General features: G+C 45.1%; 1 protein-coding gene across 19 annotated transcripts in view, besides 1 other annotated feature; it reads right to left on the reverse strand.

Annotated features, from left to right (window-relative positions):
- PAG1 (phosphoprotein membrane anchor with glycosphingolipid microdomains 1) overlaps nucleotides 1-16,347 on the reverse strand; it is a 144,259-nt gene that overhangs the window by 14,042 nt on the left and 113,870 nt on the right. For 16 of the 19 annotated variants that reach the window (XR_007060746.1, XM_047421993.1, NM_018440.4 and 13 more), the window contains 4 exons: nucleotides 11,252-11,456; nucleotides 9,628-9,679; nucleotides 5,519-5,615; nucleotides 2,925-3,526 (listed from right to left, as the gene is read on the reverse strand). Coding sequence is in view for 18 of the 19 variants with exons in the window: in XM_047421993.1 (XP_047277949.1) it covers nucleotides 2,925-3,526; nucleotides 5,519-5,615; nucleotides 9,628-9,679; nucleotides 11,252-11,376 (876 nt within the window). In the remaining variant the exon portion in view is untranslated. Of the gene's footprint in view, nucleotides 1-2,924; nucleotides 3,527-5,518; nucleotides 5,616-7,218; nucleotides 7,416-9,627; nucleotides 9,680-11,251; nucleotides 11,457-13,087; nucleotides 13,190-13,332; nucleotides 13,386-16,347 lie in introns of those variants that run through there. The other 3 variants (XM_017013643.2, XM_017013642.3, XM_047421994.1) reach the window with 3 other exon arrangements.
- Nucleotides 456-555: an enhancer, noted in NCBI's record as "active region_27570". NCBI's record gives its function as "activates an Ori minimal core promoter by ATAC-STARR-seq in GM12878 lymphoblastoid cells {active_cell/tissue: GM12878}" and the evidence as "EXISTENCE:reporter gene assay evidence [ECO:0000049][PMID:35858748]".

Below are 16,347 nucleotides of genomic sequence, written 5' to 3' on the forward strand. Positions count from 1 at the left end.
ATCTCACTTCCTTTTTTTTTTTTTTTTTTTTTTTGACAGCGTCTCACTCTGCCATTCAGGCTGGGATGCAGTGGCGTGATCTTGGCTCACTGCAGCCTTGACCTCCCAGGCTCAAGCCATTGTCCCACCTCAGCCTCCCAAGTAGCTGGGACTACAGGTGCATACCACCATGCCCAGTTAATTTTTGTATTTTTTGTAGAGACGGGGTGCTGCTACATTGCCCAGGCTGGTTTCAAACACCTGGTTTCAAGTGATCCACCCACCTCGGCCTCCCAAAGTGTTACGATTACAGGCATGAGTCACTGCGCCCAGCCTGTCTCACTTCTTTATAGCAAAATCTTTTAAAGAGTGGTCTAAAAAGTCAACCGAACAATTTTTCTCTTCCTATTCTCTTTCTAATCCATTTCAGTCATGTTTCTGCCTCTACCATTCCACAGAGACTGCTCTTGTCAAGGGCACCAATGAGACTCGCCTTCCCTGACCTACCCGCTGCATTTGGCAGAGCGGCCCGCCACTCCTTCCTTCCTGGACACGTTCTTCACTGCCTTCCAGGACTCCACAACTTTCCTGTTTTTGTTTCCTACTTTGGTCTCTTCTGCTGGTTCCTTTTCCAGATCTCTATTCTTGGAGCTCTTCCAGGCTCTATTTACACTCACCTATCCTGTGACCTCACCCAATCTCATGACTTTTAAAACCACATTCTGTGGATGACTCCCACATCAGCAAATCCAGCCCTGGCCTTTCCTCTTTACCCGGCTCATCAATCCAGCTACCATCTGATAAGCTCTACTTGGAAGTCCAATCGGTATCTCAAGTTGAACGTACCCAACACTGACTGCTGGTTCTCCCCCCAAAACCTGCTCTGCCTGTATCCTCTTCATTTCAGTTAATGGCAATTCAATCTTTCCCACATGTTGGGCCCAGCCTCGTACTCATCACTGCCTCTTCTTTATCTCACTAAGCGTAGGATCCATCCGCAAATCTCTTGGCTCTGGCTTAGCTTTTCTCATCACCTCTGCTGCCTCTTCCCTGATCCAGGCCACCGCCATTTCTAATCTGGTTTATTAGAGTCACTACCCAATTGTTCTCCTCACTTCTACCCTTTATTTCAAAACTGGAGTCAGAGGGATCCTTTGAAAACATAGGCTAGGTTGTGCCATTCTGCTGCTCGGGACTCTAGTGACATTATTAGTGTTCAGACTATAAGCCAAGGCCATCCAGGATCGAGCTCTGGTTCTCTTTCTCCTCACTGCTGTCCTTGCTCTTCCCTCTCCACCCACAGCAGTCCCCTCCTCTTCCCTTAAAAAGCCAGTTGCAAGCTCTAGCTTCAGGGGCCTCACACTGGGCATCCCCTCTGCTTCACGTGCTCTTTCCACAAAAGCACAAACCTCACCCCCTTGGATCCTTTAACTCAAACGTCACCTTCATAGCTGGGCAGACCCTGACCACTCTATCCAAAACTGTACTCCCCACCTGTTTTCTCAGTTCCCCTTATTCGGTTCTATTTTTTTCTCTTATAAACTTTAAACTTTATGTCTGTCTCTTCCCACTAAGATGTAAGTTCCACAGGGCAGGGATTTTGTTCATGTACATGTTTTGTTTCCAGGACTAGAAGACTGTGTGGCACACAGCAGGTGCTTATTAAGATCTTTTGTTAAATAAATGAATGAATATTAAATACTTCAAACCCTCAACTCACTTAAAATTAGGGTTGTTTATATAAAGATGATGGATTACTCATTTTTACTATATTGTGGAAGGATAATTTTATTTCCAGATGATTATTTCCAGTTTTTAACGTGAAATCTGGAGAACTGTTTACTAGCAATGGTTAGACAACTCAACGTCTTATCTTTCTAATGCTTGTAAGTAAAAAGCTTTGTCTGGTTTAGGCAGCATGAACTTTACATCAGGTTTATGGTCTTTGGTTCTATGAAGGGCAAAAAATTGGACTGCATTTTTATATTTTATGAACATGTTCATAAACCCTTTTATTGGTGCTCTCAACAGCTGATTTCATGGATAATATGAAAAGTTGAAATGCATTCAGAGAACAGCACAAAGAATGATTTTCTTGGTCTAATTTATACAAACAGAGTGAGGGTTCACCTCTGGCCATGAACTACGGAAGGTTTTTAAGGCTACTAGTGACTGGCTAACCTGCTACTTGTCCTTCCTACTAAAACTGAATAGAAGAGAGAACCTTCCTCTTTTTCTGTGTAGAAAACAGAAATTAATTATTAGTTGCCTGAAGTAGATGGGCCTAGTTAAATCCCAAAGAGATTTTAACAACCAGGGATGTGAACTTCATCGTGGCTCAGATATCAAGTTATCAGACACATGCAGAAGGTGTGGATTGCTAATGCATTTTACAGCTTTGTTGAATATCTAAATTTAGGAAGTATAGGCTATAGTTTAGAAAGGGTCACAAAATAAGATCTCCTACTGATTTATATGAAGGTTTGTACAATCAGATATAACCAGGGGCACCTGTGAGTTGGTTCCCATGGTACCTGTTGCTATGCATGCTGATTTTTGGGGATCCTGGAAGGGGAAAGGTCACCATGCTGCTGAGGCAGCCAACAAGCAGAATGGGTAAAATGTGTGGGCAAAGTGTCCAGTTTCTGTATTTAATTTGTGGACATCAAAATGAAGCAAACAAGATTTGGCCCTAATTAGACATGATGGAAAAAATGTGAAAATATCCAAGTAAGGTGCTGAGAGAAATATTTGATAAATACAAGTTTTTGGTATTTTATTACTTGGAGGGGGAAAAAGCCAAACACAGCTTACATGAAAACAGCTCTCATCATTCAACAAACTGGAAAGTGTTTGCAGATATTTCCCAGAACAACTCCAGGGCCAGCTAGATTCCTAACCAGAACAGGAACCCACAAAGACAAAACAAAAACGCCAGTGCCCACCTTGTTAGTTTCACTGGTCGTGTCTGTGGCACTCTCTTCCGCCTCTCCCCCTTCCTTCTCCTGAAGGTTTTCATTCTCGTCCAGAAGCTTAACAGGGACAGGTGGTGGGGCCTCCTCTTCTGGATCACATGAATTTCCAAGGATACTCTCTACATTAACACTTTGACGACATTTTTTGTTTCTGTCCACCGAGGCATATTCAGCAAACTCAGCTTTGCCTTCAGTCTGGGGCCCTGGGAGCTCTTTCGAGGCAGAAGTAGATTTTGCCTTGCCACTGTGGCCTTTCTCCAGGTGTGCAGCTGCAGCCACCTCCTTGATCTCTTTCACAGTTTCATACAAGCAGTCCTCCACCATGTTTTCTTGGGAGGAGCTGTCCTTGAGCACTTCATAGGGCCCTTCCATCCCCAGCCCCTGGTCCCCGTCCACACTTCTCGCCGTGAGCATGGTATCCACTGCGCTCTCGGGAGGGATTCTGGGCAGCTCCCGACTCTGATGACATTTTGGTTTCCCTGTGCTGTCCTGGGAATCCAGCAGATCCGAGGCCGATGTCTGGACTTCCTCGTAATGCTGCATGCAGGTCAGAGTACTGTCCTCTGAAAGAACTAAAGCAGCACACACATTAAAAGCGGAGAAAGGCAAGTCTTTCAATAATTATTACCGAGAATCAGGTAATATAAAGTTAGGTTAAATCAAGATGCGTGCTTTTTATTTAAGTCTCAGGCACAAATTATAGTTGTTATGACCATCAGTTGGTATCCTACTTCAATCACAGTTTAAAATAAAGCTGTTCATTATATCTTTCCCAATACAAGATTTAATAAGTTATCTTGGCTCTAAGTGTAGTTCACAATTACTTTCCTTAATGTCACTCCAATGAGAGACTCTTGTAGGCAGATTGTCCAATGTGACCAGAAGATGACCAGTTTGATGCCGCTGAACTATGGGAGGCTGGACACCAGAAAGGCAGCATGTGCAGTGACCACAGTCCCCAGCACCACTGACCCCTGCCTGTGTGGAGGGAATTATTGGTAGCCACCCCCTTTCACACAGGTGACTTTTGTTTGGCAGACATAATAGAAACTACAGGGCAAACATGCACCCGTCAGCCATTAGCACAAAGGGACTGGCACCTCATACCTTGCTTCCATCTCATCCCGCCACCAACATTCCTACCTCAAATTAGAAAAAAACCAAATGTGAAATTCTTGGCCAGCCACAGATATGCTATTGTGTGAAGCTGTTCAGTCGTCCCTTTGTCAACCGTGTTGTGAGTGCCTGCCATGCACCAGGGATGGTGCAGGGTGCTGCAGACACATCATTCAATGAAACAGAAAGCCCTGCCCTTAGGATGCAGACACAAAGTAAGCAAGTTATTCCATTAGTGTCTCACTCTGGGGGAATTAGAAATAGTGTTTCCAAGGGGTATGTGAAAAAATGACAACGGATCCCCCAATCCTTCTGAACTTACCAACACCCCTGTGTGTTCTAAATCCCTGATCATCACGGAGGGGGTGAACTTTTGCTCTCTGGTTCTAGTTGTCTACATCATGGTAGACAGAGAACAGGCACTGGTGTCCTGATTACCCCACAGTTTCCTCATCAGTAAACAGGGGTAACAGGACGCCCTCTTACCTCAGGTAAAAGCATGGTGTAAACTCTAAAGCATGAAGGAAACCTAGCTGCTCCTTCCATCAGCAAGAGTACACAATGCATGATGCAGAGGTTATGCAGAGTGACTGAGTGCGTGCCCAGGGATCAGACTGCCTGGTTCCAACTACAGATCCTTAGCCCGCTGACTATATGATATCAGGCAAATTAGCAACATCTCTGTGGAAGGCAGAACGACCCTGAAAAATGTCTGTCTCCTAATTCCTGGAACTTGTGAATGTGTAATGTTTTGTGGAGGGTATGGAGGGATTAGGGCTACAGGTGGAATTAAGGCTGTTAATTAGATGACTCCCGGATGAGAGGGAAGCCTGGATTATCCAGGTGGGCCCAGTGTAATCACAAGGGTCCCTATAAGTGAATAGGGAGGGGGGAGGGTCAGAGAGGGATGTGAAGAATGAGGGAGAGGCCAATGGATTCTCCTTGAGGCTTCAGGAAGGACCACAGGCCTACGGATGCCCTGATTTTAGCCCAGTGAGACCCATTTCAGACTCCTGACCTCAGAATTGCAAGTCAATAAATTGTTATTTTAAGGCATGAGGTTTGTGGTAATATTGTTACAGCAGCAATGTGCCCAGTTTTGTCACCTTTAAATTGTGAGGAGTAATAATACCTATCTTACAGAGTAGTGTTATTATTAATAACAGTAATCTCGTGGGGTAAATGAATTAGTACATGTAAATGTACTAAAATGTACTAAAAGAGCAAATGAATTAGTACATGTACCAGTCTTAGAACAATGCCTGGCACACAGAAGTGGATTAATAAGTAGCAGTATTCATCCAAATGAGGGGTTCTGCTAAAACTGCTAGGAATACTAAAACTGAGCAATAACACATTTCCTACTTTTTGAGCTATGTATTTTGAAACCTAGGACTTCCAGAGGTGATGAGGCCTGTGTGGAAAGCTGGTGTTTTTGCAGAACTTACTGTCCCCATTGGTGAGTGCCCCATTCTGCTCACTGCTGGCAGGAGCATCTGTTGCCAGGCTAGTAACTGAACGGCTGAACATCTCCTTGTCTGAAGGCTGAAAACAAAAACAAAAACAAAAACAAATGCATCACATTGCTAAGAATCTGGACTGCAGAGCAGAGGAGAAGATCCATGGCTTTTTCAAAAAATTAAAACAGCAGAAACAGAAAACAGAATCTCCTATAATAGTCCCCCCTTATCTACAGAGGGTACATTTCAAGACCCCCAGTGGATGCCTAAAACCATGAGTAGTACTGAACCCTATATAGACTATGTCTTTTCCTATCCATATATGTTATACCTATGATGATGTTTAATTTATAAGTACAGTAATTTAACAATAACCACTGACAATAAAACAATATAATATAATGAAAGTTATGTGAATGTGCTCTTCCTTTCTCTCAAAATATCTTGTATGGTTCTCACCTATTTTTGGATTGTGGTTGACTGTGGGTAACTGAAACTGCAGAAATCAAAACTACAGATTAAGGGGAGCTACTGTTTTTAGATTTAAATTAAGTAAAATAAAATACACTAAATTGAGTTCCTTGTTGACTAGTCACATTTCAAGCGCTCAATAGCCACATGTGGCCAGTGGATACCATATCCAATAGGAGATACAGAACACTTCCAGCACTGCAGAAAGTTCTATTAGACACTGTTGTCCCAGAATCTTAGGGGCACTGGGAATCTTCCAAAGCCATGTGCAGAGCTTCCTGCCTGGTGACCTACACAGGGCTATAGGCAGGTTGTGAGATATCAATTCCCTTAGCTCAAGGCAGGAAGGGAACTGGTTGAAAAAGACCACAGCAGCCTCATCCTTACAACACAGGTGCTGTAAATCATTATTGGTAAAGGTGTGCCATGCTATGAGAAACGTGGAAAGGCATCACCCTTTGTCATGTGAAGGGAACAGACTTAAATCTGGTCAGAGATAGATAAGGCTATTGATTTCTGAAACTATTTTAGAACCAGCAAAGCCTCTGGCTGCTAGGTTCACAGAAACAATAATATGCTGAAAATTAGCTCTGCAAACTTTTTATTTATTTATTTATTTATTTTTTAAGATGAGGTCTCACCTTGTTGCCCAGGCTGGAGTGCAGTAGCATGATTATAGCTCACTGAAGTCTCAAACTCCTGGGCCCAAGAGATCCTCCTGCCTCAGCCTCTGGAATCGGTGGGACTACAGGTATGCACCACTATGTCTGGCTGCTCCCATAAGAGATGGGATCTTGCTATGTTGCTCAGGCTGGTCTCGAACTCCTGGCCTCAAGCGATATGCCCACCCCAGCCTCCCAAAGTGCTGGGATTACAGGCGTGAGCCACTGTGCCCAGCTCTGCAAATCTTTCTTATTCTTACAAATAAACTTAGGACATTTGGAGGGAAGAATGGCATCAATAGTTGGTTTTCTGCAGGGATAGAATGTGTAGATGCTACCTAGAACAATATGCCTGGCTCAGCTATAGCTAAGAGTAGTCAGAAAGCAAGTTGGTGTTCATGTATTTCTTTAAATACCCAACTTGTCTCAGGTTGCAGCCCAAATCACTGCAAATGTGATTTGCTCCCTGTTCTTCTCACAGCCTGCACGTTCCAAGAGGCTATCTCATGCTCCAGGATTCTACAAGGAAAGTTGTGATGTAAACAGCACACAAACCTTTGCTAGTTGGCCTCACAAATTCTCTGACTCTTGATTGGAAGCCAGTAATACACAGCAGATAGTTCATGCTGTGCAATGATCCAAAAGTGTATTGGAAGTCAGCTGTTTCCATCCAATGCAGCTCATTCACGTCTGATGAGCCCCCAGTGAGATGGGTCACTGTGTTAGGTTGCCAGGAACTTGCAATGCAGGTGCTAATATCCCAGAAATGATGTTATAAATGGGCAGGCATGGGTGTGGGGAAGGAAGACTCCCAGGTGGGCCCATAACAGCATAATCGATCACAGCTGAAGTTACCATAATCTAGACTCTAACTACTATTCCTAATCTTTGCTTCTATGAGATGAAGAATCCGCAAGTTGTATAAGATCTAGGAGCTGAAAAGCTCTTAAGGAGAGCTGGGTGGGCGAGCGTGTGTACATGGGTGCCAGTGTCCGGGTAAGCATGCGTTCCTGTGTGTGCTCGCGCTCTCTCACAGACATTCACATCCATATAAATGAGGCTATGGGTTGGGGCAATAATGAATTATATGGTGGATGAGGAAGAAGGCAGGGGATGGAAGCCAGCTTTTTCCTTTTATCCACCTGCCACTCTCTTCCTATCTCGCCCAGGGCTGCTGCTGACCTTGAGTAGAACAGCGGGAACCCAAGCTCTAGGCCAGTGGCTCTCACACTCGAGCATACAACTGGATCACCTGGGGTGCTTGCGAGCCTTTTACTGGGCCTCACCCCCAGGAAAATTCGCATTTCTAAGGAGCTCCCAGGTGCTGCTGCTGCTGTGGGTGGAGGTCCAGGCCACACTGCAGAAGAACCCCTGCTCTAGAAGGAAGTGAGGAATGGCGGTGGGAGCCCTTCCCCAGCCCCACCTCACCACCCAACTGGCACCAGGAGAATGGTGGAGTGACGAAAGGCAGGGGCCTGGAGTCTGCATGGGGAGAAGCGACAGTGGGGCGTTCCCTCCATCCCTCCCACCCTCCCTGCTGAGGCCACCACAGCAGCAATCACCAGGCAGAGCAGGGGCGCTGGGAACAGATGAGAAGTGGCGACAATGTGGACAACCAGGGATGGGAACAGGGCGAGAAACAGAGTAAAGGGAGGAGTGGTGATGAGGGCCCAGGAAAGCTGCGAAGGGTGAGGTGGGCATGTGGATGCAGAGGGGAGGGAAGGAAAATCCTGGGGGTCCCAGGAGGAACGGGGAGTCCTGACAACTTCCTGCCTGCTTGGGCCAGAGGAGTCCTGAGAATTGGCAGGTCAGGAAGCCTAGACTGGAGATGCCCCTGGTCATCTCTGCAAACGTCTGCTGGCTGCGGGTTTTACGCCAGACCTTGGCTCATCCATGCTTCCTTGTTTGCACCCTCTCCTCCCAACCAGTTTTTGCTTGACCTTGAGAAATGATGTCCTGAACAAGAAGCATCTTCTGTCTTAGCACTGCCACAGGACTCAGGGCAGATTCTGAACTCTGCCTTGCTAATGTGACGATGGGCCCCCTCCCCAGCGGCTGGGACTGCTCAGCCATTCAAAAGCACGGGCCTGGGTCAGAGAGGACAAGGAAGGACCTGGACACTCTCAGGCTGTTCCTCGCCAGGGTGGATCCCTGAGGGCCTCAGGATCATCAGGACCCTGTAAGATACTGAGGGCTGGGAAAACGCCAGCAAGGCTAGGTTATATACCTAGGGTGTTGTGGGTCCCAAGCTCCCTCCAGCTTAATGACCTGTTGTTATGGGTTGAACTGTGTCTCTCCAAAATTCATGTCCAAGTCCTAACCCCCAGCACCTGAGAATATGGTCTCATTTGGAAATAGGGTCATTGCAGACGAAGCTAGTTAATATGAGGTCGTGCTACAGTAGGGTGGGCACTAGTCCAATATGTCTGGTGTCTTTATAAAATGGGGAAACTTGGACACAGCCAGCCATACATAGATGGGAGGTGATGTGAAACACAGAGGTCACCATAGGAAGATGAAGGCAGAATTTGGGGTGATGCCTGTACAAACCAAGTCACACCCAAAGTTTGGCTGCAAACCACCAGAAGCCCCAGGAGAGGCCTAGAACAGACTTTCCCTCAGAAGCAACCAATCCTGCCAACACCTTGATTTTTGGATTTCTGGCCTCTAGAACTGAGAAACAAACTTGTTATTTAAGCCACCCTGTTTGCGGTCCTTTGTTATGACAGCACTAGCAAATTAATAGAGGCAAAAAAGTCCCATCCCTGCAGTAGGTTGGAGCCATTTAAGGATCATTCCGGCAGCAGCACTACTGCATCCATTTCAGAAGCCACCGTTTAACTTAGGCTTAGCTCTCCCCGTGGGTTCTACTCAGGCTGTGAGCACATGGGAGCACACTTAGATAAGTAGCTGATGTTCTGGAGCACGCACGGACAGACAGGCAGACGACACGCGCAGGCTCACCACGTTCATCAGGTTCTCATGGTCCCCACTATGCTGTCGCGGCTTCTTTTCCCTGAAATGAAAAGTGAAATGTTGTAATGTCAAATGTGCCCCCTTAAAATCAAGCGCACACTACCCTTTCCTATCCCAATTCTTATCAGCTTTTAAATCTCTCGTTTTAAGAACCATGTTTATTTTGTCAACAAAGACAAAATCAGACAGTGATTTGATGGCCCGTTTGCAGGTGCTGGGGAAGAGGAGTTCAAGCCTCAACTAGGGACTGTCCACCTCCCCTGGCACCCCTTCTTCCGGGAAAAAACATACAAGTTCACAAGGAGAGGACCGAGGCCTGGGCCTGCGTAGAAATTGTTTATACCTAAACTAGCAGAGTAAGTTATACCTTTTTTTTTTTTTTTTTGAGAAAATGAAGACAATTATCTGAGTCTCTGCAAAGTCACACACTGCAGTGGGATGGAGAAAATACAGATTTTTGGCACGCCAGGAAGGGTACATGCTCTCAGGGTGAGTCATATGTACTTCCAGTCTATGGGAAAGTCTGTCAAGTAAAAATAGAATTTGTTTTTACTCGGGACAGTCTAAAGAAAGCCATCAGTTGTAGAGAATACGCCGCCCATCCACGTTCTCTATAAAACAAGGGTGACACCTAGTGGGAACATGAGTAACTACAGAAGCAGGCCGTCCAGGCCCCGGGAAGCCCCGGCCCTGCGGCCTCTTTGTTCATCTTCCCAATCATTCAGACTCTGTCCCAGCCACAGAGGTCTGGGTCCAGGCTGGGCAGGGATTAGGAGGCTAGCTGGGTTCAGAGGGTCTTGGCTTTTCTCCTCCTGACAGATTTTAGGGTAGGAAGCTATTTCAGAATTTTAAGTGACGCTCCTGGAGTTGCTTCCATGGTGGAGGGAGAGTTTGGACAGGGCTGGCTGACGGTCAGCTGGTCTGCATGGGCCTCTGGTGGCATCTAGCCTATCAGAAGGTTATGTGCTTTGTAACAGTTCCAGAATGTCCTGAAACATCACTTCTGGTTAGAAAGAACTTCTCTCTGAGCAAAGATTTCTCTTGTTGGGGGTACTGACATTTTATATGAGACAGAGGAGAGAGAGAAGTATAACTCTAAAAAAAGGACACTGATGATTATTTCATATACAGCATGTTCCTCTCCTTGGAAAATAATCTGTTTCTTGAGAAACTGAAGGTCTACACTACACATTTTTAATCATAAACAATCCCTCCGAAATCACGTAGCAGCAAACATTCTGTGACTTCCGCAGGGTGGTGGCAAAAAGATGCGCATCACACAAGATTTCAAAATGCCCGCACATGAAAAAAGACAAAATCCATTTTGACAAGGGTGTGATCGAAAGAACAGCAAGACTTTCATTCTGGGAAGTTTAAAATATAAGGGCTCTTCTAGTTGCTCCCTAGCAAAACCAAATATGGGTTTTCCTTCAGTGAATAAAGAATGTCCCGAGACGCTCTGCAGCAGAGAGAAGAGAGTTAAAGCTAATGCACAAGTTTCTGGGACGGCTCTGTGGCGGGATTCCATTCCTAACAGGCTTTCCACAGAAACTCTTCTGGGTACAGGGGATGTATTAGTTTAAGGCACAGGTATATACACTCTGGTTCTCACCTGTCACAACTAGAGCACAGGAAGATGAGGAAGGTGATGACGAAGAAAATGGCGACAGCAGCCAGACTTCCCCACAGGGTGATCTGCATCTGTCCGCTGCCCAGCAGGCTCCCCGCGGGCCCCATGGCAGGAGCAGGCACTGGCACCAGCCGAGGGAATCAGTCAGTCCTTCAAAGGTGGTGACATGGAGGCAGAGAGCTGTGTCCTGCAAAGAGACCAGTGCGTTTGGAGAGTAATTCTCGGGTAAAGTGGCAGAATCTGTAATTCGGTCCCTGTCAGGAGCAAGACCTTTGCGCAAAGTCAGGGAAGCGTGTGCTGGATGCTGAGGAGAGCCCCGGACTGGACTTGAAATTGGACTCTGGGCAAGTCCCCTCCATGGTCTAGGTCTTCATTTTTCTTACCTGAAAACGAAAGCGGGAACATACAGCTGCCTGGCCCAGTGTTTGAAGCAATGGATGTCTTATCTTGATATGTTTGGGGGTGGATTCTTCTTGTTCTTTTTTTTTTTTTTTTTTCTTCAACCAGGGTCTTGCTCTGTTGCCCAGAGTACAGGGGCGCAATCATGGATCACTGCAGCCTTGACCTCCCTGGGCTCAAGCAATCCTCTCCTGAACCACCCCCCTGCCCCCCACTGCTGGGACTACAGGCATGCGCCACCATTCCTGGCTAATATTTTTATTTTTTGTAGAGACGAAGTCTCACCATATTGCCTACACTGGTCTTGGACTCCTGGGCTCAAGTAATCCTCCTGCCTCAGCCTCCCAAAGTGCTGGGATTACAGTGTGCCACTGCACCTGGCCTGGATGGATTCTTAATGTCTTCAAATAAAGATTTCAAGTACTCCATAGCAAATAAATCCATGCTCATTTAGGTTCATTAAAAAAAATCAGAACAGTATATAACAATTCTTATATAGCTTTTGCAAAAATGCAACTCATCACCTGCCCCTGCCCCCCACTGCCATCTCTCATCTCCCTAACCCACTGCCATCTCTAATCTCCCTAATCCACTGCCATCTCTCATCTCCCTACCCACTGCCATCTCTCATCTCCCTCACCCACTGTTGTCTGAGAAGGTTTAAGGTCAATGTAACTAATGAAATAGAATGTCTTTATATTCACCTGCATTTATTTATTCTGAGTATGTTATGTATTCTGAGTATGTTTACACTACCCTGCTGTGAGTACCCAATAAATGCATTTTCAAATGAATGAATGAAGTATGTGCTAAGAATACATCCCTGGGAATAAATAAGACCTATTTATAAACAATTGCAAGAGAAGCATAAGAGCTCTACCTAGTACATTTCCGTACCTGGTATGTACCAGGGATTCTGCTAAATGCTTTCCTCATTTAATTGCTGTCACCACCCTGTGTAGGAGGCACTGTTAATCCCCCTTTTACAGAGATGGAAGCTAAATCCCAGCAGAGCGGTGACTTCCCCTGAGTGTCACAGGAGCTAAGTGGCAGGGAGGGATGAGTCCAGCTGTCTCAGACTCCAAAGCCTGTGCTCTGTGTCCATCAAGGAAAGCTCGTTGTCACTGTGGGGATGCTGGGACTCACAGGGTCACTGCACCCTGTCCCAATACTTCGAAACAGAAATGGTCAGATTCCTTGTGTGAAATATTTTAAGAGCTACAGATATTTTAAAAATGGAGTCGTATATCAAATGATCTGTCATCACAGAGGCCTTGTTTAAAGAATATTTGCTTTGCTCAATTCTAGAACATTCTAAATGAAAAGAAATAGCCTTTAAGTTGGTCTCAAGTGTCATGAATAAGCAAATACTTTGGTTTTTTGATAATAGTGCAATATCTTCTTTGAAAAAGTATTTACATTTTCGTTTGCTTCAGTGATAAAGCTGTGACTGTTTTCAGCCATCCCTGAGCACAGACATCAAGACGGCAGGGGTGGCTTCGCAGCAAACCAGGGTGCCTCCTAAAACGGGGAGAATAAAAGCCATTTTGGCAAATGTGGTTCAATTGGACCAAATCATCTCCAGGTGAAACACTGTCACATTTATTTGAATATTCAAAGTTAAAGAATATTAAAAAGCTGAAGAAAAAGAGACTTTTACCTACAATGTATGCAGAGAGAGTTCTGAGAGATGAAGTTGTTTTCCTCAATCTTTGAATCAACATGAACGTCTTCTAAGGCTCTATAATTATATAAATGCAGGACTCCCTGCGTAATACAGAACTTCTTTCTTCCTATGTTTGATTGTATGTATATTGTGCCTGTAAACACGACAGGCGTACAGTAATAACAAGTCAAATTACTTTGCATGTTTGCCCCCAGACAGCTATAAACAAATGAAAATAACCACCACTTCTGTGATTTGTTGATGCAAAGAATAATTCACTTTAAACTGAGACTACAAATTGGCACCACAATAGGTTTTAAAATACATTCAAGCAAGCAGCTAAATCATGATGACCAATGAAAATATATAAAATACATTTTTATACACAGGTCCAAAGCATACAACATTTTAGGAATCACAGACAAAAGGTATCTATCTCCTGTGCAGGCATCTGTTTGTTCTTCATTCATTCATACAACAGATTAATTGATGCCCATTTATAAAATGCCATGTTCTTAAAAAGAGTTTGCTGTGTGAGTTATTCAAAAGCCAGATATCCATTCATGAAACCTAGTGTGGAATCGCCAACAACTCTCTCCTTTCTGTACATGTTTCTCTTCTCTCTCTCCTCTCTCCTAATAGAAGGAGGTCAGTAGAATATGATGAGAGATGTGGGATGCCCAGCCTATTAGTACAGTGCAGGGAGAAAGAGGATGAAAGGGGATTATTACAAGCTGTGGAATAAAGGATGGAACCAAGAGAAAATGTGTTGAAACTCCTGGCTCACTCCCCTTCAATTAGAATTGTCTATAAAGCCACTGAAAGACTTTTTCCCAAGTTCTTACTGTGGACAAAATTCTCACAGCGAACAGAATGATCATCATCAGGTGCACGTTTCTGAGTCAGATGCACTGCAGTCCTCAGGGACAAAGGCCCCAGTTGCGGGGGCAGCTTTCTCCTCTTGGACCCTCTAAGTGCTGCTCTGCAGGAGGACTGTGGGACACCAGTCCCCGTGGTCGTGGGCAGTGCTGGCGGGTTGAGTGGCTGCACCAGCAACTGCCACCTACTCTTCTTTAGGGGCCTGGCAGAGTGTGTGAGTGTTGGTGGTGGGGAGGTGGGAGGAGTGGTGGCTGAGGGGATCTAGACTAACATAATCTTTGATCCTTACAGCAGACGTCCTTGGTGGACGGTTCCCATTTTGGAGAAGATCTGTGCACTGCTACCCTTCTCTCCTGGTCTCTCTCTCTTTTTTCTGGATGTTTGTTTCCAAAATTCTGCTGCCCATGCCTTCTCTGGCTATCTCCTTAAATTTTGGCAGCTCATCTACAACTGAGCCAAGACTGCCTCCCGCTCACCCTCCTGCTCACAGGTCTAGATGGACTTCCTGGTAAATGTGTGTCGGTGGACCGGCTCCTCCCCTGTGCATGGGGATGGCCCCTCCCCATGTGTGCAGATGTACATGGATCACTTTGTGTTTCACCTTCTTGGAGCAGCTGAGGGTAGAGGCCTCATGCAGAGGGCCCAGTGCTCTGCCCCTAGGCTGGACCCTCATGTGTCGGTTTAACTGCCCTTAAATGCAGTGCTTGGGGGTCCTCGTTCTGTTCTTTTGAGTGAGGGGAAGGTGGAGGGAAATCAGTACCCTTTCAGATGGCCAGCGAGGCTTTTCTTAGGATGAGTGATGGGGGAGACAGTAAGCGGATAGGAGGCATAGTGTATGGATAGTAAAAGCTACCCTGAACAGGAAGGTCCCTGTGGCAATCATGGCATTTCCAGACTCTACACTGTGCCACCCAAGGCAGTGCTGTCCTGTGACAATCATGGCATTTCCAGACTCTACACTGTGCCACCCAAGGCAGTGCTGTCCTGTGACATGGTTATGGTCCACAAGGACCATCTTATTTTAGGCTGATTCAATATCAAGTAAGTTATGTCTTGACTATCAGGGATGATCTCTTCCAGCAGAAATATCTGAGCCATTTGGAGGAGCATCCCCTATGTTTTTTTCATGAAGACATTTAAGTCTATTTCTCCGAATCCTGTTCTTACTTGACTCAATAAACTTGCATTCAACTATATAATATTACATAGAATATTATTTCTTCTTTTTTTTGAGACAGGGTCTTGCTCTGTCACCTAGGCTGGAGTGCAGTGCTGTGATTACTGCAGCCTCGACCTCCTGGAATCAAGCAATGCTCCCACCGCTGCCTCTTGAGTAGCTGGGAACACAGGCATGCGCCACCATACCAGGATAACTTTTTTGATTTTCAGTAGAGATGAGGTCTTGCTATGTTGCCAGGCCGGTATTGAACTCCTCCCACCTCGGCCTCCCAAAGTGCTGGAGTTACAGGCATGAGCCACCACACCCAGCCTATTTCTTCAAAGTTTAAAAAATTTCTCTTATCAGACCACATGTGTAAATATTCTTTGAGTTATTCAACACAGGGCAAAGAAGGACCATTTATTTTAATTGTTAACTCTACTAACACTTAATTTTGGCACCTGAATGCTGTACTAAGATGAGCCACAGAAGATGGTAATATTAATGTGATCACAGATTTAGATTAATAGTTGTACATTAATTCTGTTTGCTATAAAATAGGCTTCATTATTGGCTGCATTGATGTAAAGTCATGGCTGGAGACTGTAATATAATACAAGCATATAGTATTGCTGTAAAAGACTCAGTGGTACTACCTCAATCTCCACCCCAATTTTGTATAATTTCGAACTACTGTGAGAACTTGTTGTTTAGCCTTGAGAAAGGTCAGTGCTTATGGTTAAAGGACTTTCATTGGGGATTCTTTCAAAGATTTATCTCATTAATTATTTTGGACTAAAAGGTCCATACTCTCTTACCCTTTTATATCCACTAATTTGTTTTAATGCATAAGTGATTTAATCACTAGAAAAACCACTGGCCTTTAAATTTAACAGCAGGTGTCCTTTTTTTTTTTTTTTTTTTTGAGACAAAGTCTCGCTCTGTCGCTAGGCTGGAGTGCAGTGGTGCTATCTC

This window comes from Homo sapiens, chromosome 8 (genome assembly GCF_000001405.40).
Source record: "Homo sapiens chromosome 8, GRCh38.p14 Primary Assembly".
Lineage (NCBI taxonomy): Eukaryota > Metazoa > Chordata > Mammalia > Primates > Hominidae > Homo > Homo sapiens.